This window comes from Homo sapiens, chromosome 4, assembly GCF_000001405.40.
Source record: "Homo sapiens chromosome 4, GRCh38.p14 Primary Assembly".
Taxonomy (NCBI): domain Eukaryota; kingdom Metazoa; phylum Chordata; class Mammalia; order Primates; family Hominidae; genus Homo; species Homo sapiens.
In genome coordinates, this window is record NC_000004.12 from 142,245,657 (window position 1) to 142,268,434 (window position 22,778).

The following is a 22,778-nucleotide window of genomic DNA, read 5'->3' on the forward strand; positions in this document are numbered from 1 at the left end:
AATGGTACCTGCTCCTCTTTGCTTGTTTGTGTCAGGTTTGTCAAAGATCAGATGGTTCTAGATGTGTGGCGTTATTTCTGAGGCCTCTATTCTGTTCATATATATGTATATGTGTGTATATATATATGTGTGTATGTATACATATATATGTGTATGTATACATATATGTGTATGTATACATATATATGTGTATGTATACATATATGTGTATGTATACATATATATGTGTATGTATACATATATGTGTATGTATACATATATATGTGTATGTATACATATATGTGTATGTATACATATATATGTGTATGTATACACACATGTGTGTATGTATACATATATATGTGTATGTATACACACATGTGTGTATGTACACACACGTGTGTGTATACACACATTATATATATGTGTGTGTGTATACACACATTATATATATGTGTGTGTGTATACACACATATATATATGTGTATGTATACACACACATATATATATACATATATGTGTTTTGGTACCAGTACCATGCTGTTTTGATTACTGTAGCCTTGGAGTATAGTTTGAAGTCAGGTAGCATGATGCCTCCAGCTTTGTTCTTTTTGCTTAGGATTGCCTTTGCTATATGGGCTATTTTTTCTTTTTGTTCCATATGAAATTTAAAGTAGTTTTTTCTATTTCTGTGAAGAAAGTCAATGGTAACTTGATGGGGATAGCATTGAATCTACAAATTACTTTGGGCAGTATAGCCACTTTCATGATATTAATTCTTCCTATCCATGAACATAGAATGTTTTTCCATTTGTTTGTGTCCTTTCTTATTTCCTTCAGCAGTGGTTTGTAGTTCTCCTTGCAGAGGTCCTTCATATCCCCTGTAAATTGTATTCCTAGGTATTTTATTCTCTTTGTAGCAATTGTGAATAGGAGTTCACTCAAGATTTGGCTCTCTGTTTGTCTATTATTGGTGTATAGGAATGCCTGTGATTTTTGAACATTGATTTTGTATTCTGAGACTTTGCTGAAGTTGCTTATCAGCTTAAGGAGATTTGGGGCTAAGTCGATGGGGTTTTCTAAATATAGAATCATGTCATCTGCAAACAGAGACAATTCGACTTCCTCTCTTCCTATCTGAATACCCTTTATTTCCTTCTCTTGCCTGATTGCCCTGGCCAGAAATTCCATTACTATGTTGAATAGGAGGGGTGAGAGAGGGCATCCTTGACTTGTGCCAGTTTTCAAAGGGAATGCTTCCAGCTTTTGCCCATTCAGTGTGATATTGGCTGTGGGTTTGTCATAAACAGCTCCTATTATTTCGAAATATGTTCCATCAATACCTACTTTATTGAGAGTTTTTAGCATGAAGGGGTGAATTTTGTCAAAGGCCTTCTCTGCATCTATTGTGATAATCATGTGGTTTTTGTCATTGGTTCTGTTTATGTGATCGATTATGTTTATTGATTTGTGTATGTTGAACCAGCCTCGCATCCCAAGGATGAAGCTGACTTGACCGTGGTGGATAAGCTTTTTGATATGCTGCTGGATTCAGTTTGCCAGCATTTTATTGAGGATTTTCGCATCAATATTCATCAGGGATATTGGCCTGAAATTTTCTTTTTTTGTTGTGTCTCTGCCAGGTTTTTGTATCAGGATGATGCTGGCCTCATAAAATGAGTTAGGGAGGAGTCCTCTTTTTCTATTGTTTGGAATCGTTTCAGAAGGAATGGTATCAGTTCCTCCTTGTATCTCTGGTAGAATTTGGCTATGAATCAGACTGATCCTGGTCTTTTTTTGGTTGGTAGGCTATTAATTACTGCCTCAATTTCAAAACTTGTTATTGATCTATTCAGGGACTCAATCCTTCTGGTTTAGTCTTGGGAGGGTGTATGTGCCCAGGAATTTATCCATTTCTTTTAGATCTTCTAGTTTATTTGCATAGTGGTATTTACAGTATTCTCTGATGGTAGTTTGTATTTCTGTGGGGTCAGTGGTGATCTCCCCTTTATCATTTTTATTGTGCCTATTTGATTCTCCTCTCTTTTGTTCTTTATTAGTCTGGCTGGTGGTCCATCTATTTTGTTAATCTTTTCAAAAAACCAGCTCCTGGATTCACTGACTTTTGGAAGGGTTTTTTGTGTCTCTCTCTCCTTTAGTCAGAGGCAGTACAAAATTTTTAATGAGACTTAAGGAAAGTAATATTTTATTCCAAACCTAAATAATTATATTTGAAAATCTTTCTCAAAGAAAGAAAAATAATTGAGTTTTCTGTTATCTGAAGTGTAAATTCAGATAAGATACACCTGTTGTTTACCATTTAACAAGCATTATTGTATTCTTGTATGGAAGAGCCTCTGTGTGCTCAGGAGGGAAAGAAGGCATCACCCCTCCTGCCCCTGCCCTCCAGGCTCCTGTGCTCCCATCTACTCTAGGCACCTTCCACTCCCAGGATATGTTTATATTGTACATCACCAGAATGATGCTTCACTGGTTGCTGACCACCCCCATCCCAAGATCAGGTTAGCTCTGTGCATTTTTCCCTTTAAGAGGGTATCAGTGAATGGATTACATCTATATCCAGACTCCAAGACTATCAATTTTTGAAGCCTTTTCCCCATGAGATTTAAGAAAGAAAAGCACCCGTTCCTCCCCCTCCTTTCCCTCTCTCTGTCTCTGTGTTTCTCTCTCTCTCTCTCTCTTTTTTTTTTTTTTTTTTGAGATGGAGTTTCACTGTTGTTGCCCAGGCTGGAGTCCAGTGGCATGATCTTGGCTCACTGCAACCTCCGCCTCCCGGGTTCAAGTGATTCTCCTGCCTCAGCCTCCCAAGTAGCTGGGATTACAGGTGCCCATTACCACACCCAGCTAATTTTTTGTATTTTTAGTAGAGACGGGGTTTCACCATGTTGGCCAGACTGGTCTTGAACTTCTGACCCCAGGTGACCTGTCCACTTCAGCCTCCCAAAGTGCTGGGATTTCTCTCTCACTCTCTGTATGTGTGTGTGTGTGTGTGTGTATGTGTGTGTGTGTGTGTATGTGTATGTGTTTAGGCTTAGGAGTCACCATTATTTAAAGGGCCATGTGGGGAAATCAACTCTCTTGCTTGGTTCTCTTGAAATCTCAGGGGCACATTCAGCAGGACTGGAAATTTTTATTCCTTATAATGAATTTTTTTTCTACCAATAAATTGTTCACCAAATTCTAACTGATTGGAGATTTCTAGATCAATGGGAGAGGGTAGATGCTAAATAATGAAGAATTCAATTTATAACATTTAAGTGCCCAGAGGTTGTTAACATAAAATGATATAGACTGCAAATAAAAAAGCAATGTTCCTTCCTCCTAAGTAGCTTACAATCTAGTATCTTCTTCAAAACAACAATAGTAGGTGGTTTAACCCTATTTGGTGAAAAAGAATCAAAGCTGTGAAGCAAGATGTACAAATACCGGTAAGTTCTCCACATAGGAGGGCAAACTGCACATATTTATGACTAATAGCAGCACAGTCTCCTCATCTTTGTTTGGATTCCAACTCACACAGTCATGGAAATCATGGTTGTTAGGTATACAAAAATACTGTATCACATCTAATGCTTGCTGAGTGGGGGAAACTCACTCTAAATGGGACCATAATGGGAAACTTTCTCACAGGGTCTACTAGCTTCTTAGATTTGGCATGGTAATTTGAGGGTCTATGGGCTGAAGTACTCTGTAGAATTATATAATAATTTTACCAAAAAAAGAGAGAATTAAGAAATTTACACAGAATTGTCTTTAAAACTTTTTTTAATGTTCTATCACTGGTCAGACTTTTTAACTGTAAATAATAACCTCTGAGAAAGAAAACTATAAATGCCAAATATTCCTCCATATAAAACTGATGAAAATGAATACTTTCATGAAGTGTTTCTAAAAGGAAGGAGAACAATGCAAACACTAACCTATGCGACATCAACTTCAAACATTTGAGAGCCAAAAAGGAAGTCAAAAACTGTTTAGGTTAATTTGGTCATTTTAAAATAATTGAAAGGCAAAGAAGCTGAACTGTCTTTCAGGATGAAACGGCTGGTTGAAAAACCTAGGCTTTAAAATCATTTCTTCTGTCAGTGCATCCAGTGTTCTTGTATTAATACTACCAGAGCCCATTTATCATCGCTGTGCTGCAAACAAGGTGCCTCAGTTAGTGTGACTTAGGCACCAAACTCCATGACTATGTGAAAGACCTACCATCTCCCCTTCTATACAGTCAAGATTCACTTCCCCTACTCCCATTTCCACCTCACCTCCAATAGAAAATAGTTTAAAGTTTTCTTAGTACTATTTTACTTAAACAAATAAGCAAATAATTAGAGATAAGTCTGCTTTTTAACAACTTAATTTTATGAGTTATATTGTTAGAAAGTCAAACTAAGTAAGAGCTTCACATGTTTATTACATACTGTGTCTTCTAGTGTGCCTTGTTTGTATTTCCATGTAATTAAGGTACTTATATATCTTTCTTATGGAATTGTAAATTCTGTCCCACCTCTTCCTTATTCTCTCTCTCCTTCCACCCTAAATTCACCAGATTCCCAACATACACATTCAACTTGCAAGGGCATGAAAAGGGTGAGGCCTTAGGGGAAAGTCTTTTTCTTCTTAGTTTTACAACAGATAAGTGAACTTCCTGATTTATACCAAAATCGCTAGAGATGTAAATAGAATAGTGACGAACTGATATAAGATATGACATTCTCTCCCACTCAGTAAGTACTTCATAACTCACTGGAGACTGAAAAGCTCCATTTAAGACATTAATACAAAGACTTGAGAAGAATGTCAATAGCTTACTTTGCCTACAGATTAAAGAAATACCACATGGGTACAGAATGGATTAATTTCAAAGTTGCTGAGTTTAGATAGATAGATAAATAAATAGAACAAAAGATTAAAGTGCACAGGCCAAAGTCATATACATATTCTATATCTGCACAATGCACCTTTATATTTTGAACAGAAACATTTTATGAATAGCTCTTAGTTGTATTTTTATAAAGTTTTAAAAAATCCAGTCTTTATAACATTTGACTTTCATTTAGTCTCATCTTCCCCTGATAAAAGATGACTCCAAGAAAATATCTGTGGCAAATATCCTAGGTTCTGGGTGGTCCTCCAGGCTGACTGGACTACAGACATTTAGAAATATATTCAGAACTAAGTGGACTGCCACCACCAAACTGTCACCTCCATAAAAGGAAAAAAGCAATAATTAATCATCTTTCACTCCACAAAGTATATTTAAATTGCAGAATGCAGCTGCTCCTATCAATTTTATGTCAGTAGTTTTTGTCATATTACAATTTATATGTAACAAACAAATACCCTGGTAATCTGAAAGAATTAGTATGGCTTCCAACACTTATGCCTTACAGAGTTTATGGCACAACTATGGAGAGGTAAAGATCTATTTTTCAATATGATCTCTGTGTCTCTTCTTCCATAAGTAATATGTTTGCTTGATTTTAAAGTAATGTTTCTCTTTCTCCTTGAAATTTATACTTAACCAATAAGCATGACAAAATGCCACTTCTTTTTGTGCATATAAAAAAGTTACGGGGTTCACATAAGTCAGTCATTAAAATTTGTCTTATAATTATAGTATAGATGATTTTGGTGATAACCTGAATCAAGCTGTATTTAACATGAACTTAATATCCCACTCAAATTTATTTTTAAAAATTAACATTTAATGAATGACATAAATTATGGTTTATGAACATATTAAAGTAAATAACTAAAGGTTTAGTCAACTTTCAGGTGAAAAACAAATGTGAGGAGGACCCTTTGATAATACTTTAAATATTTTAAGAGCACTAATAACTCAGATGCTTTTAGGATGTATGGTTGATTTATTAATAGCTGTCTGGGTAGACCCTTCAAAACGCTATTTAGTACATACCCCACAATATTATATCTTTCATTAAAAATAAGAAAAATCCCATCTCATTTGGCTGTAGGCTGAGAAACACCTGTTCTTCCTTGGGTTAATTCTTCATTCTGTGTAAGTGGACTTGATGTTTTTAAACATATTGCTCAATTAAATTGTATTTTGTTTATCTGTGTGTATAAACAGAGCCAAAGGGATGCCTCTCCTTCCCCATTCCCTATTGTTGGCTGCCTCTTGCAAGAGAAAACTGCTAATCATTTAGGGGTTATGTATTTGTAAGCTGCTGAAGTTGTGTATTATTCATTAACCTGATTATCATGCTATGTCACTGCTTAAATGTACAACATGGCAGGGCTAGAAAAAAGAGTAAGGTATTTTACTGTGACACCAATTTGTTGATTAATGCCTTCTTAGTAAAACCACAGCCTATCGCTTATGAGCAAAGGCCTTGGAATCAAAGTGGATTTAAATTCTGGACCCACTGTTTACCGCATAGGTGATCTTGAAGACTTCCTCATTTGTGAAATATGGATAATGATAGTACCTTCCTCATAGCACATGTCAGAGGATTATCTAAGACAAGGTACATAAGGTATTAGCATATTGCCTGTCACTATAGTAGTCATTTTTTTTTTTTTTTTTTTTGAGACGGAGTCTCGCTCTGTCGCCCAGGCTGGAGTGCAGTGGCGCGATCTCGGCTCACTGCAAGCTCCGCCTCCCGGGTTCACGCCATTCTCCTGCCTCAGCCTCCCGAGTAGCTGGGACTACAGGCGCCCGCTACCACGCCCGGCTAATTTTTTGTATTTTTAGTAGAGACGGGGTTTCGCCGTGTTAGCCAGGATGGTCTCGATCTCCTGACCTCGTGATCCGCCCGCCTCGGCCTCCCAAAGTGCTGGGATTACAGGCGTGAGCCACCGCGCCCGGCCAGTAGTCATTATTTACTAACAGTCATTTAATTTACATTATCATTTAAAAATTGGTTCCATAATTTTACATATTCATATTATCACATATATTTTAACAGTACTATATGTCTCAATTTTATTCATAAATACATTTAGCATACAGTTTAATACCTTGTTGAAATGCAAACATATTATGTGAATAATGCAGTACACACCTACATACCCAAGAATGTACAAATGTGATTATTAAGTTTTCCTACTGAATCCATATATCTATTCTTTTAACAGCTTTATGAGTTATATAATTAGGAAGTCAAACTAAACAAGAGCTTCACACTGTCTTCTAGTGTTTCTTGTTTTGGATAATACATGATCCAATAGCTAAAAGAAATTTATAGTCGTGTAGTTTAACAAGGGGTTATGTTCTGAGAAAGTAGTCATTAGGCAATTTCGTCATGGTGCAAACATCATAGAGTACACTTACAGATACCTAGATGGTAGAGCCTACTACACACCTACGCTCCAGGGTATCGCCTATTGCTCCTAGGCTACAATCTGTATAGTATGTTACTGTGCATAAATATGTAGGTAACCACACCACAATGGTAAGTATTTATGTACCTAAACATATCTAAACATAGAAAAGGTACAGTAAAAATATGGTATAAAAGATTAAAAATGGTACACCTGTAAAGGGCATTTACCATGAAAGAAGCCTTCAGAGCTAGAAGAAGGTGCTCTGGATGAGTCAGTGAGTGAGTGGTGGGTGAATGTGAAGTCCTAGAACATTACCACATACTACCGTAGACTTGGTAAACAGTGTATGCATAGGCTACAACATTTTTAAAATCTTTTCTTTCTTCAATAATAAATTAACAGAGGAGCCAAGATGGCCGAATAGGAACAGCTCCGGTCTACAGCTCCCAGTGTGAGCGATGCAGAAGACAGGTGATTTCCGCATTTCCATCTGAGGTACCGGGTTCATCTCACTAGGGAGTGCCAGAGAGTGGGCGCAGGTCAGTGGGTGCGCGCACCATGTGCGAGCCGAAGCAGGGCGAGGCATTGCCTCACTCGGGAAGTGCAAGGGGTCAGGGAGTTCCCTTTCCTAGTCAAAGAAAGGGGTGACAGACGGCACCTGGAAAATCGGGTCAATCCCACCCGAATACTGTGCTTTTCCGACGGGCTTAAAAAACGGCGCACCAGGAGATTATATCCCGCACCTGGCTCGGAGGGTCCTACGCCCACGGAGTCTGGCTGACTGCTAGCACAGCGGTCTGAGATCAAACTGCAAGGTGGCAGTGAGGCTGGGGGAGGGGCACCCACCATTGCCCAGGCTTGCTTAGGTAAACAAAGCAGCCAGGAAGCTCGAACTCGGTGGAGCCCACCACAGCTCAAGGAGGCCTGCCTGCCTCTGTAGGCTCCACCTCTGGGGGCAGGGCACAGACAAACAGAAAGACAGCAGTAACCTCTTCAGACTTAAATGTCCCTGTCTGACAGCTTTGAAGAGAGCAGTGGTTCTCCCAGCTCGCAGCTAGAGATCTGAGAACGGGCAGACTGCCTCCTCTAGTGGGTCCCTGACCCCTGACCCCCGAGCAGCCTAACTGGGAGGCACCCCCCAGCAGGGGCAGACTGACACCTCACACGGCCGGTACTCCAACAGACCTGCAGCTGAGGGTCCTGTCTGTTAGAAGGAAAACTAACAAACAGAAAGGACATCCACACCAAAAACCCATTGGTACATCACCATCTTCAAAGACCAAAAGTAGATAAAACCACAAAGATGGGGAAAAAGCAGAGCAGAAAAACTGGAAACTCTAAAAAGCAGAGCGCCTCTCCTCCTCCAAAGGAATGCAGTTCCTCACCAGCAACGGAACAAAGCTGGATGGAGAATGACTTTCACGAGCTGAGAGAAGAAGGCTTCAGATGATCAAATTACTCCGAGCTACGGGAGGACATTCAAACCAAAGGCAAAGAAGTTGAAAACTTTGAAAAAAATTTAGAAGAATGTATAACTAGAATAACCAATACAGAGAAGTGCTTAAAGGAGCTGATGGAGCTGAAAGCCAAGGCTCGAGAACTCTGTGAAGAATGCAGAAGCCTCATGAGCCGAGGAGATCAACTGGAAGAAAGGGTATCAGCGATGGAAGATGAAATGAATGAAATGAAGTGAGAAGGGAAGTTTAGAGAAAAAAGAATAAAAAGAAATGAACAAAGCCTCCAAGAAATATGGGACTATGTGAAAAGACCAAATCTACGTCTGATTGGTGTACCTGAAAGTGACGAGGAGAATGGAACCAAGGTGGAAAACACTCTGCAGGATATTATCCAGGAGAACTTCCCCAATCTAGCAAGGCAGGCCAACATTCAGATTCAGGAAATACAGAGAATGCCACAAAGATACTCCTCGAGAAGAGCAACTCCAAGACACATAATTGTCAGATTCACCAAAGTGGAAATGAAGGAAAAAATGTTAAGGGCAGCCAGAGAGAAAGGTCGGGTTACCCTCAAAGGGAAGCCCATCAGACTAACAGCGGCTCTCTCGGCAGAAACTCTACAAGCCAGAAGAGAGTGGGGGCCAATATTCAACATTCTTAAAGAAAAGAATTTTCAACCCAGAATTTCATATCCAGCCAAACTAAGCTTCATAAGTGAAGGAGAAATAAAATACTTTACAGACAAGAAAATGCTGAGAGATTTTGTCACCACCAGGCCTGCCCTAAAAGAGCTCCTGAAGGAAGCGCTAAACATGGAAAGGAACAACCGGTACCAGCCGCTGCAAAATCATGCCAAAATGTAAAGACCATCGAGACTAGGAAAGAACTGCATCAACTAAGGAGCAAAATAACCAGCTAATATCATAATGACAGGATCAAATTCACACATAACAATATTAACTTTAAATGAAAATGGACTAAATGCTCCAGTTAAAAGACACACACTGGCAAATTGGATAAAGAGTCAAGACCCATCAGTGTGCTGTATTCAGGAAACCCATCTCACATGCAGACACACACATAGGCTCAAAATAAAAGGATGGAGGAAGATCTACCAAGCAAATGGAAAACAAAAAAGGCAGGGGTTGCAATCCTAGTTTCTGATAAAACAGACTTTAAACCAACAAAGACCAAAAGCGACAAAGAAGGCCATTACATAATGGTAAATGGATCAATTCATCAAGAAGAGCTAACTATCCTAAATATATATATACCCAATACAGGAGCACCCAGATTCATAAAGTAAGTCCTGAGTGACCTACAAAGAGACTTCGACTCCCACACATTAATAATGGGAGACTTTAACTCCCCACTGTCAACATTAGACAGATCAACGAGACAGAAAGTCAACAAGGATACCCAGGAATTGAACTCAGCTCTGCACCAAGCAGACCTAATAGACATCTACAGAACTCTCCACCCCAAATCAACAGAATATACATTTTTTTCAGCACCACACCACACCTATTCCAAAATTGACCACATAGTTGGAAGTAAAGCTCTCCTCAGCAAATGTAAAGTAACAGAAATTATAACAAACTGTCTCTAAGACCACAGTGCAATCAAACTAGAACTCAGGATTAAGAATCTCACTCAAAACTGCTCAACTACATGGAAACTGAACAACCTGCTCCTGAATGACTACTGGGTACATAACGAAATGAAGGCAGAAATAAAGATGTTCTTTGAAACCAACGAGAACAAAGACACAACATACCAGAATCTCTGGGATGCATTCAAAGCAGTGTGTAGAGGGAAATTTATAGCACTAAATGCCCACAAGAGAAAGCAGGAAAGATCTAAAATCGACACCCTAACATCACAATTAAAAGAACTAGAAAAGCAAGAGCAAACACATTCAAAAGCTAGCAGAAGGCAAGAAATAACTAAAATCAGAGCAGAACTGAAGGAAATAGAGACACAAAAAACCCTTCAAAAAATTAATGAATCCAGGAGCTGGTTTTTGGAAAGGATCAACAAAACTGATAGACCACTAGCAAGACTAATAAAGAAAAAAAGAGAGAAGAATCAAATAGATGCAATAAAAAATGACAAAGGGGATATCACCACCGATCCCACAGAAATACAAACTACCATCAGAGAATACTACAAACACCTCTACGCAAATAAACTAGAAAATCTAGAAGAAATGGATAAATTGCTCAACACATACACTCTCCCAAGACTAAACCAGGAAGAAGTTGAATCTCTGAATAGACCAATAACAGGCTCTGAAATTGTGGCAATAATCAATAGCTTACCAACCAAAAAGAGTCCAGGACCAGATGGATTCACAGCCGAATTCTACCAGATGTACAAGGAGGAACTGGTACCATTCCTTCTGAAACTGTTCCAATCAATAGAAAAAGAGGGAATCCTCCCTAACTCATTTTATGAGGCCAGCATCATCCTGATACCAAAGCTGGGCAGAGACACAACCAAAAAAGAGAATTTTAGACCAATATCTCTGATGAACTTTGATGCAAAAATCCTCAATGAAATACTGACAAACCGAATCCAGCAGCACATCAAAAAGCTTATCCACCATGATCAAGTGGGTTTCATCCCTAGGATGCAAGGCTGGTTCAATATACGCAAATCAATAAATGTAATCCAGCATATAAACAGAACCAAAGACAAAAACCACATGATTATCTCAATAGATGCAGAAAAGGCCTTTGACAAAATTCAACAACCCTTCATGCTAAAAACTCTCAATAAATTAGGTATTGACGGGACGTATCTCAAAATAATAAGAGCTATCTGTGACAAACCCACAGCCAATATCATACTGAATGGGCAAAAACTGGATGCATTCCCTTTGAAAACTGGCACTAGACGGGATGCCCTCTCTCACCACTCCTATTCAACATAGTGTTGGAAGTTCTGGCCAGGGCAATTAGGCAGGAGAAGGAAATAAAGGGTATTCAATTAGGAAAAGAGGAAGTCAGATTGTCCCTGTTTGCAGATGACATGATTGTATATCTAGAAAACCCCATGGTCTCAGCCCAAAATCTCCTTAAGCTGATAAGCAACTTCAGCAAAGTCTCAGGATACAAAATCAATGTACAAAAATCACAAGCATTCTTATACACCAATAACAGACAAACAGAGAGCCAAATCATGAGTGAACTCCCATTCACAATTGCTTCAAAGAGAATCAAATACCTAGGAATCCAACTTACAAGGGATGTGAAGGATTTCTTCAAGGAGAACTACAAACCACTGCTCAAGGAAATAAAAGAGGATACAAACAAATAGAACATTCTATGCTCATGGGTAGGATGAATCAATATCGTGAAAATGGCCATACTGCCCAAGGTAATTTATAGATTCAATGCCATCCCCATCAAGCTACAAATGACTTTCTTCACAGAATTGGAAAAAACTACTTTCAAGTTCATATGGAACCAAAAAAGAGCCTGCATTGCCAAGTCAATCCTAAGCCAAAAGAACAAAGCTGGAGACATCGCACTACCTGACTTCAGACTATACTACAAGGCTACAGTAACCAAAACAGCATGGTACTGGTACCAAAACAGAGATATAGATCAATGGAACAGAACAGAGCCCTCAGAAATAACGCCGCAAATCTACAACTATCTGATCTTTGACAAACCTGAGAAAAACAAGCAATGGGGAAAGGATTCCCTATTTAATAAATGGTGCTGGGAAAACTGGCTAGCCATATGTAGAAAGCTGAAACTGGATCCCTTCCTTATACCTTATACAAAAATCAATTCAAGATGGATTAAAGACTTAAACGTTACACCTAAAACCATAAAAACCCTAGAAGAAAACCTAGGCATTACCATTCAGGACACAGGCATGGGCAAGGACTTCATGTCTAAAACACCAAAAGCAATGGCAACAAAAGCCAAAATTGACAAATGGGATCTAATTAAACTAAAGAGCTTCTGCACAGCAAAAGAAACTACCATCAGAGTGAACAGGCAACCTACAAAATGGGAGAAAATTTTCGCAACCTACTCATCTGACAAAGGACTAATATCCAGAATCTACAATGAACTCAAACAAATTTACAAGAAAACAACAAACAACCCCATCAAAAAGTGGGCAAAGAACATGAACAGACGCTTCTCAAAAGAAGACATTTATGCAGCCAAAAAACACATGAAAAAATGCTCACCATCACTGGTCATCAGAGAAATGCAAATCAAAACCACAATGAGATACCATCTCACACCAGTTAGAATGGCGATCATTAAAAAGTCAGGAAACAACAGGTGTTGGAGAGGACGTGGAGAAATAGGAACACTTTTACACTGTTGGTGGGACTGTAAACTAGTTCAATCATTGTGGAAGTCAGTGTGGCAATTCCTCAGGGATCTAGAACTAGAAACACCATTTGACCCAGCCATCCCATTACTGGGTATATACCCAAAGGACTATAAATCATGCTGCTATAAAGACACATGCACACATATATTTATTGTGGCATTATTCACAATAGCAAAGACTTGGAACCAACCCAAATGTCCAACAGTGATAGACTGGATTAAGAAAATGTGGCACATATACACCATGGAATACTATGCAGCCATAAAAAATGATGAGTTCATGTCCTTTGTAGGGACATGCATGAAATTGGAAATCATCATTCTCAGTAAATTATCACAAGAGCAAAAAACCAAACACCGCATATTCTCACTCATAGGTGGGAATTGAACAATGAGATCACATGGACACAGGAAGGGGAATATCACACTCTGGGGACTGTTGTGGGGTGGGGGGAGGGGGGAGGGATAGCATTGGGAGATATACCTAATGCTAAATGACGACTTAGTGGGTGCAGTGCACCAGCATGGCACATGTATACATATGTAACTAACCTGCACGTTGTGCACATGTACCCTAAAACTTAAAGTATAATAATAATAAATAAATAAAAAAAAAGAAAAAAAAAAGATCAGATACCACAATCAACAAGAGGGGTAGAAGAGATGGAGAAGGGCGCGTGGGTAAGTGTTGAATTTCAATTTTTTAAGTGTGTATTTTGTACTCTTTCTAGGTACAGGATTAAAAACAGGCCAATGTGGAAAAAATTGTTATAATTGTTATAAATTGTTTATATTGTTATAAAACTAAAATCAAATCAAGAAAAAAATATAAAATAATAATAATAATAAATTAACCTAGGATTACTATAACTTTTTTACTTTATACACTTTTAAATTTTCTTAACTTTTTGACACTTTTAAAACATTTAGCTGAAAACACAAATACATTGTACAGCTATACAAAAGTATTTTTTCTTGTTTCCTTATTCTATAACTTTTTCTTATTTTTACTTTTTAAATTTTCTTTTTTTTTACTTTTTAAACATTTTTGTTAAAAACTGAGACAAAAACACACACCTTAGCCTAGGCCCACATGGGGTCAGGATCATCAAGATGTTACTAGGCAATAGAAATATTTTAGCTGTGTTATAATCTGATAAGACCACTGTCATATATGTAGTTGGCATTGACCAAATGTCATTATGCAGCACATGATATTTGTTTTTTGTTCATTTGTTTTTTGAGATGGAGTATCACTCTGTCTCCAAGCTGGAGTGCAGTGGCGCGATCTCGGCTCCCTGCAACCTCCGCCCCTCGGGTTCAAGCGATTCTCTTGCCTCAGCCTTCAGAATTGCTGGGACTACAGGCACGGGCCACCATGCCCAGCTAATTTTTGGTATTTTTAGTAGAGACGGGGTTTCACCATGTCAGCCAGGATGGTCTCAATCTCTTGACCTCATGATCCGCCCGCCTCGGCCTCCCAAAGTGCTGGGATTACGGACGTGAGCCACCGCGCCTGGCTGACCATATTTGTTTTGCAATATAGCTAGTACATTTATCTTTCCTGTGGAATTGTACAATCTCCCCGCATTCTGCTGGCCCCTTATGATTTCCCAGTGTATTTACTAAGCTTCACAAACAACTGTGAGAATGCTGGTTCAGTGTTGATTTTACATAAAATTAAAATTCATTTTTGCATGAAACTAAGTATTTAAAACTGAGTTACATACCTGAATTCAAAAAAGGTAAGTTATCTTTTCCGCTCACACTTTCCGGGGCTGTACATTCACATACCAGGGCACACTAGGAAAAAATGTAAAAAAAAAAAAAAAATTTTGAGAACAATCAAAATAAGGAATGATATTATTTTATTTGCAAAACATAAGGCTATGTACATGGTTTCAAAAAGTTTTGAATAAAATACTTTTTAAAAACTATTTCTAGCTCTATCTTTACTACAAAGAGTGTTTAACTTGTGATTTACTTAAATGTATACAGAATATGCTTATATTAGATAATTGTAGAGGGTACTCAGGGAAAAAGTTAAAATGAGAAAAATGATTATCCCCAACATGCTAGAGATATGTTCCTAGCACAGTAAATCATATTTGACAAGCTGAATCATTTTGTATTTCTTTCACCTGAGCTAATTTCAGATCAATAGAAAGCAAATTATTTTCTAGAGTTTAAGTAATTGCAACTTTAAATAAAAGACAAAATATGTTGACGCCACTAGTTATATAGGGCAAAAGATTATTTTGCCTCCAGCAAAACAACGCAAGCACTTGCTCAAAAAGTATGAGGATCATTTATAAATAAGCTGATCTCTGGAATCCATAATGAATTGATTAAGCTCCTGACCTTTACAGTACTGTCAATTTCTCAACAGAAAGAGAGAAGAGATACAGAAGAGCACATGGACATGTTCCTAGTGAATGAACCACAATGGGAGAGAATGTCCAAAACAATTCCTCACTAAATGTGGTGCTCTCCCTCAGCTTCCTATGAAACTGTAATGGAAAGAGGAAACAAAATTCTTCTGGCCCCAGGAGTTGGACGAAATCTATTTTCACACAGGAAGACTCTAGCATTTGTGTCTTCAAATGAGTTTCCTTTTATCTTTAGAAAAAAATATGGGGGTGTGAGTGGGGACAGGGAAGAGGATAGTGAATTTTTAGAGTAAATATACCCAATATAAACAAGTAAATGCAAACAGAAGAAAGCAAACATACACACAAAAATTGCAGAAAGTTCTTTTGGTGATGAGGTCTAAGGGAACCAGCCATCCTTCTGTAAGTTTTGCATGGCTCTGCTCAAGGGGCTCTGAGGGCTCAGACAAGCTTCTCCAAGGCTCTATCAGCCTTGCTTGAGCTATTTCCCCACTGTTCTGTCTCCCTCCACCTCTCCTTCCCCAGGCACTGGCCCTCTTTAAGAATCATGTACACTGAGGTCACTTTTAACAATGGAATGTATACGTTCCTCAAACATTTTGAGGAAGAAGACAAAGAATTCAAAACACTGATTTAAATGTTACTTTCTGTTTTCTTATAGTCTACTGCTTATTCCACAATCATAACATTCATCACATTACTCAGTAAATTTTTTGATGGGGTACAAAAGTGCTTTCATAATTTCTTTATTGAGGTCCTAGTTGACTGAAAGAATGAATGACTGAAAACAGCTCTTAAAATTTGATGTTCTCTAAATCGCATTTCTGACCACCCCGAAGTCAGAGGTGCACTTCCTCTAATCCACAGCAATTTTGGAAATGCACTTCCTAAATCACTAGAATGATGTTCAATGATACTAGAAATACATAAAATTCTAATTTTTCCTATTTTCAATATTACCTCTAATTCTTTTAGCATATACAGGGCTGTTAAAATAATTTTTCATCAACGTTATATTCATCATATCAGTGTTCTACTCTACAATGAATAATAACTACTTATTTAGCTCAGAGTCTTATGGCTTACAGGGGAGTACACGATCTGTTTCTCCCTGCCCCATGAATCTCAGCCCTCAACTCCAACCACTACTCCTCTACCCCTTAGCTCCAGTCACACTGGCCTATTTGCTGCTCTTTCAACACAAAAAGCATGCTGCCACCTTGGGGCCTTTGCTCTTGCTATTGATGTTACCTAGAATTCTTATTCCTGACATATATCCCCATCTCACTCCCTTATTTCCTGAAAGTTTCAGCTCAAACATCACATTATCAGTGAATCTTTCCTTAACCAACATCTAGTATAAACAACCATGCCTAAGCACCACCTATTCCTTTTACCCTATCTTTTTTTCTATACAGCATATAGCACCAATCAATAATATATTACCTGTTATTTTAATTGTTTTCTTCCCCTGAAGGTACCATCTGTGTCTCTCTGGTTCATTGCTGAATCCCCAGAACCTAGTAGAATGCTTAGAACTTAGTAGGTGATATTTTTGATGAATGAATGATGATTATTTGCCTACAAATATTCTCTATAAGTTAAGGCTTATTATAATATTTTCAATTTTATATTTGGAGGAAATAAAGGGATAAGACCTTCTGAGACTGGTCACTAGCCACTCAAAGACTCCACCTTTCCTCTGAGCACTGCTGATAAACTACAATGAAAACAGTACTTCAAAGAACAGGAGCAACATGGCCTGAGAAAAGCAGGTTTTCAGAAGGGGATGTATTTGTATTCCACTTACACTATTTTTGCTGGTATCATCAGTAAGACATTTTCTTTCCTTTTGTAGAAATCACAGTCCCTTTGGTCACTTGTGCTACGCTGCATTCCAATACAACACAGATCTTAAACTAATAGAAGAGGTAAGGCAGGGGCTGAACTAAACTAAGCCTCTCCCGTGCCTCACTGGAGGATGCTCCTAACAATGCTTTAATCCTGACAGGAAGCTGATCATCTCTGCTGCAGGCAAAGAAGGGCTGTGCTCAATGGGAGGACTTTTCCTGTCTCAAGCAATCCTTTTGGCTGTTACTTATTGGGTTTTCTCATTTTTCACCTGATTTGATTATTTGGTTCCTACTTATCCTTTCTCTAATAGCATTGTCTTTGACTACTTCAAAAGTTGTTCTGTAAGTTTCTTTATTTTTCTTCCACAGTCCTACACTCTTCACTACATGCCATCTTATTTATTGATCCACCAATTGTTATGGAGTTATACGCAGCCACATATTCTGTCTTCTATGAGATAATTTTTAGCTTTACTTCTTTAAAGTAAAATTGACTTAATTTATTCATTTATTTCTGACTTAGACTGTTTCAGGCACTGGGGATAAAGGAGGGAACGAAAATAGACAAATAGTTTTGTCTCATGAAGTTTAATATTAGTGAGGAAAATAGACCACAAATGAGATAAATTCGTAAAATATATATATATATATATATATATATATATATATATATATAACATTGAACAATGACAAGTACTAATCACAAAAATAATGCAGAGAAAGGCGATAGAAAGCTCTGAGGTAGACACTGCAATCTTAGATAGGGTTGCAGGAAAGGCTTCAGTGAGGAGGTGACATTTCTGCATAAAGACCAGAAGGAAATAAGTGAACCACAAAATTACCTAGGGAAAACACTTCAAAGGTAGGTGGGAAAACTAAGTGCAGGGGCCTTGAGTTGGCAACGTACCTGAAATGTTCAGGAACAACAAGGAAGACAATGTGACTGGACTGTAGTGAGCAAAAAATAGGAGCTGGGGAGGAGGTCAAAGAAGTAATGAAGTTCCCAGGGTTGGGACGGGGAGACTCCTGTAAGACTGTGTTTGGTCACTGAAGGGCTTTGAGTTTATACTTTCAGAGAGTTGAGAAGCTGTGAGAGGAAAGACATGTCCTAAGTTTCATTTAAATAGGGTCGCTTTGTTGCTCTGTTGAAAATAGACTGATATAGTGACATGTGGTGGCAGATCAGGGAGAGAAAAGGAAAAAATCAGGGAGACTTTTAAGTCATTACTGTAAACATCCAGGTGATAGACAACATTGGTAGCAGTGAAAGGGCCAAAAGTTGTTAAATTCTGGTTTCAATTAAAAGGTGCAGTCAACAGGATTTGCTGACATACTAACTGTGAGTTTATGAGAGGCAGAAAGGAGTCAAAGGTGACTCCAATAAAAGAAAAAATGTTTTGGATACATAATGCAACATTCATCTACTATGCTAGTTTCGAAAAAAGACAATTTTAGTATTTCTCTTGTAATTTTTTCTTTCTACTACTATGTGGTTTTAATGCTTTATCTTCTATTTCTATGTGTGTATATATTGAAGTTTGAAACAATCTAATATGGTAAATGACCTCTGAGCAATCTTCCCTTGATAATAAATATGTGTTCATAATATGATTTATGGAAACAAGAAAAAGAAAGCAAACGTATGTGAGAAGAAAGAGTTTGGATTTTCACTTATATTTTATTCCATGCTCTGGAATTTAAGACTCAAGATTAAAATGTAGTATTTTATATAAAGGTACTGTTATGGACTGAACTGTGTCTTCCAAAGTTCATATGTTGAGGCCCCAGCCTCCAATATGACCATATTTGGAGATAAGGGCCTATATTATGGAGGTAACTAAGATTAAAAGAGGTCATAAAGATGGGGTCTTAATACTACAGGGCTGGTATTCTTACGAGAAAAGGAGAAGATACCAAAACACTCCCTCTCTCCCTTCCTTTCTCCTTTCCTCTCTCTTTCTCTCTCTCTCTCTCCCTCTCTCTCCCTCTCTCTCCCTCCCCCACTTCCCCTTCCTGCTTATACACAGAAGATAGACCATCTGAGAAGGTAGCAAGAAGGCAGCCATCTGCAAGCCAAGTAAAAAGCCCTCACCAGGAACTGAACAGGCTGGCACCTTGATCTGGGACTTCCTAGCTTCCAGAACCGTGAGAAAATAAATTCCTGTTGTTTAAGCCATACAGTTTATGGTATTTTGTCATGACAGCCCAAGCTGAGCAATATCAGTATCACTCTCTTATTTACGTCTACATTAGATAACATGTGTCACTTTCATGGCACATGACTATGGTGCTAATAGAAGTTTCATTCCTTTGTCCCTAGCTCATGCAAACCAGTGAAAGCAATGTTATTTTAGGAATAACTTCTATTTCAGTTACTTTCTCTTTCCATAATGATAGTCATTCATGTCTTAAATCACCGTTAGTAACAGATAATATTAATTGATTTTCTATGGATTTTTATTTAGCAGATGTACAAGGGTCCATGCATTTGCAGTTCTAAAAAGCACTCTAGGTGATTCTAACCACACTTTGAAAAACGCTGAGATAAAGTTATTTACACAATAAATATCATGCATGTTGGGCCTTACTATATATCTCAAACATCGATATTCTTAAAGATTGCTAAGAGAGTTTACAGTTACTTTATCAAAAATTTGCAAAAAAGGTCAAGGTTTACAAATAATCCAGACAGGGCAGAGCTGATGCCAAAATGTTTGATGTGTTTACCATTTTAGTCAGCTTATGACTCACACACGGTGTGTATTGCCACTGCCACCTCCTATTTCTGGAACAGCTCAGTTAAGTCTTTTTAAAGTTCATGTTCCTAAGCCAGAAACACTATGTAGGATTTGGGTGGGGGCATATCTCTAGGTATCAAGTTCTCCATTTATGAAAAGAGTATAATTTAATTTCCACTACCTTATACTATAGTGACATAGTCTGGAGTCAAAAGGTGGGCTAGTTTTGAGGAAAGTGGAAAAGTGGCTGGTAATATATTTAGAATCAGAGAAAGGAGCTCTACTTTGAAATGGGAAGTGTTTCTGCTACTGGTCTCCTGGTACACAGTTACAGGTCTAGGCATAATTATCTGCCTATTTCTGCTCTGTGTCCCCAGTTTAGCTTCCGAATCCTCCTTCCTTGATCTTGATGCAAGTGTTCATGTGATAGTGACAAAGATGAGTCTTATATAGAACTACAAAACAAACAAGGATGGAATGAAGGGATCCAGCCCTAAGACAGGGTTTCGAATGCACAAACTCAAGAAAGTCTGCTCCAAAACTTTACCATGGCCCTGATATTAGTTAATAACCTGATTTAAACCTTGGGCCTTCTTAAAATATTTTTATAATGTGGGATATATTCCAAGGAGAAGGGAGAGTAACAGAGAAGAACAAGGTTTAGGGTAGCAGAGAAGACCCTAGCCTATTCTGGGAAAAAGAAAAAAAAATTGAAAGAAAATATTTGATATTTTTGTAAAGTTAATAATTTGTTACGTGTTGGATAAATACCATCTTCCATGCAGCAGTTTCCTGGGTAAGAAAAATCAAACATGCTCCAAGATAAGAGACACTAAACCAGAAAATAAGTCACAATGGGCCTTAATTTTTTAATGTTCATTTATAAAGCTTTTCTTCTACAATCAAGAACAAGACAAAGATGTCCATTCTCACCACTTCTATTCAATGTTATACTGAAAGTTCTAGCTGGAACAATCAGACAAGAAAAAGAAATAAAAGATATCCAAATAGGAAAGGAAGAAGGGAAATTGTCTTTGTTTGCTAATAACGTGATCTTTTATGTAGAAAACCCTAATGACACAACCAAAAGAAAAAAAAAATCAGTTAAAACTGATAAATTCAGTAAAGTTGAAGGATACACAATCAACTCACAAAAATCAGTAGTGTTTCTTTACACTGACAGCAAACTATTTGAAAAAGAAATTAAGAAATCAATCCCATTCACTTTAAAAAAATACTTATAAGTAAATTTAACCAAGGATTTGGAAGATCTGTGTACTGAAAACTATAAAACATTAATGAAAAAAAGTTGTAGATAACACAGATAAATAGAAAAGTATCCCATGCTCGTGGATTGGAAGAATTAATACTGTTAAAATGTCTATACTACCCAAAGCAATATACAGATTAAATGAATCCCTATCAAAATTCCAATGTCATTTTTCACGGAAATAAATGTTAAAAATCCTAAAATTCTTAAGAAACCACAAAAGAGCTTGAAGAGTCAAAGTTATCTTGAGTAAAGAGAACAAAACTGGAGGAATCATGTCAGCTGACTTCAAAATCTATTATAAAGCAAAGTTATCATAATCAAAGTGGCATGTTACTGGCATAAAAACAGACACATTGACCGATGGAACAGGGCAGAAAGCCTATGAATAAATCTACACATATATGGGCAATTCGTTTTCAACAAAGGTACCAAAAACACAGAATGGAGAAAGGGCAGTCTCTTTAACAAATTGTGTTTGGAAAACTAGATGTCCACATGCAGAAAAATAAAATTGGACCCTTATCTCATGCCATGCTCATGCACAAAAATCAACTCAAAATGAGTTAAAGACTGAAAAATAAGCCCTAAAACTATAAAAGTACTAGGAAGAAAACATTTAAAAATGCTCCATGACATTGTTCTGGGCAAGATTTCTGTAATATGACCCCAAAAGCACAGGAACAAAAGCAAAAATAAGCAAATGGCATTGTATCAAACTAAAAAGCTTCTGCACAGCAAAGGAAACAATAAGGAAACAACTCATGGATTGGGATAAAATATTTGCAAACCATACACCTGATAAGGAGCTAATATTCAAAATATATAAGAAACTCAATAGCAAGAAAACAACCCAATAAAAAATGGACAAAGGACCTAAAAAACACTCGCAAAAGAAGACATACAAATGGCCAACGGATATATTAAAAAATGCTCATCATTGCTGATTACCAGGAAAATGCAAATTAAAACTACAATGAGATACTATTTCACACATGTCAGAATGACTATTATCAAAATGATGAGGGAGGCCAGGCACGGAGTCTCACGCCTGTAATCCCAGCACTTTGGGAGGCTGAGACAGGCAGATCACGAAATCAGGAGACTGAGACCATCCTGGCTAACACGGTGAAACCCCGTCTCTACTAAAGATACAAAAAATTAGCCGGGCATGGTGGCGGGTCCCTGTAGTCCCAGCTACTCGGGAGGCTGGGGCAGGAGAATGGTGTGAACCCAGGAGGCAGAGCTTGAAGTGAGCCAAGATCGCGCCACTGCACTCTGGCCTGGGTGACAGAGCAAGACTCCGTCTCAAAAAAAAAAAAAAAAAAAAAAAATGAGGGGTAAGTACTGGTGAGGGTGTAGAGGGTGTAAACTAAAGGGAACCCTTATGCACTGTTGAGAATGTAAATTAATACAACCATT

At 37.8% G+C, this 22,778-nt stretch overlaps 1 protein-coding gene across 64 annotated transcripts in view; it reads right to left on the reverse strand.

Moving 5' to 3' along the window:
- INPP4B (inositol polyphosphate-4-phosphatase type II B) overlaps window positions 1-22,778 on the reverse strand; it is an 823,376-nt gene that overhangs the window by 222,497 nt on the left and 578,101 nt on the right. For 62 of the 64 annotated variants that reach the window (NR_169617.1, NR_169615.1, NR_169599.1 and 59 more), the window contains one exon: window positions 14,836-14,908. Coding sequence is in view for 53 of the 64 variants with exons in the window: in NM_003866.3 (NP_003857.2) it covers window positions 14,836-14,908 (73 nt within the window). In the remaining 11 variants the exon portion in view is untranslated. Of the gene's footprint in view, window positions 1-14,835; window positions 14,909-16,941; window positions 17,016-22,778 lie in introns of all 64 variants that reach the window. The other 2 variants (NR_169624.1, NM_001385452.1) reach the window with 1 other exon arrangement.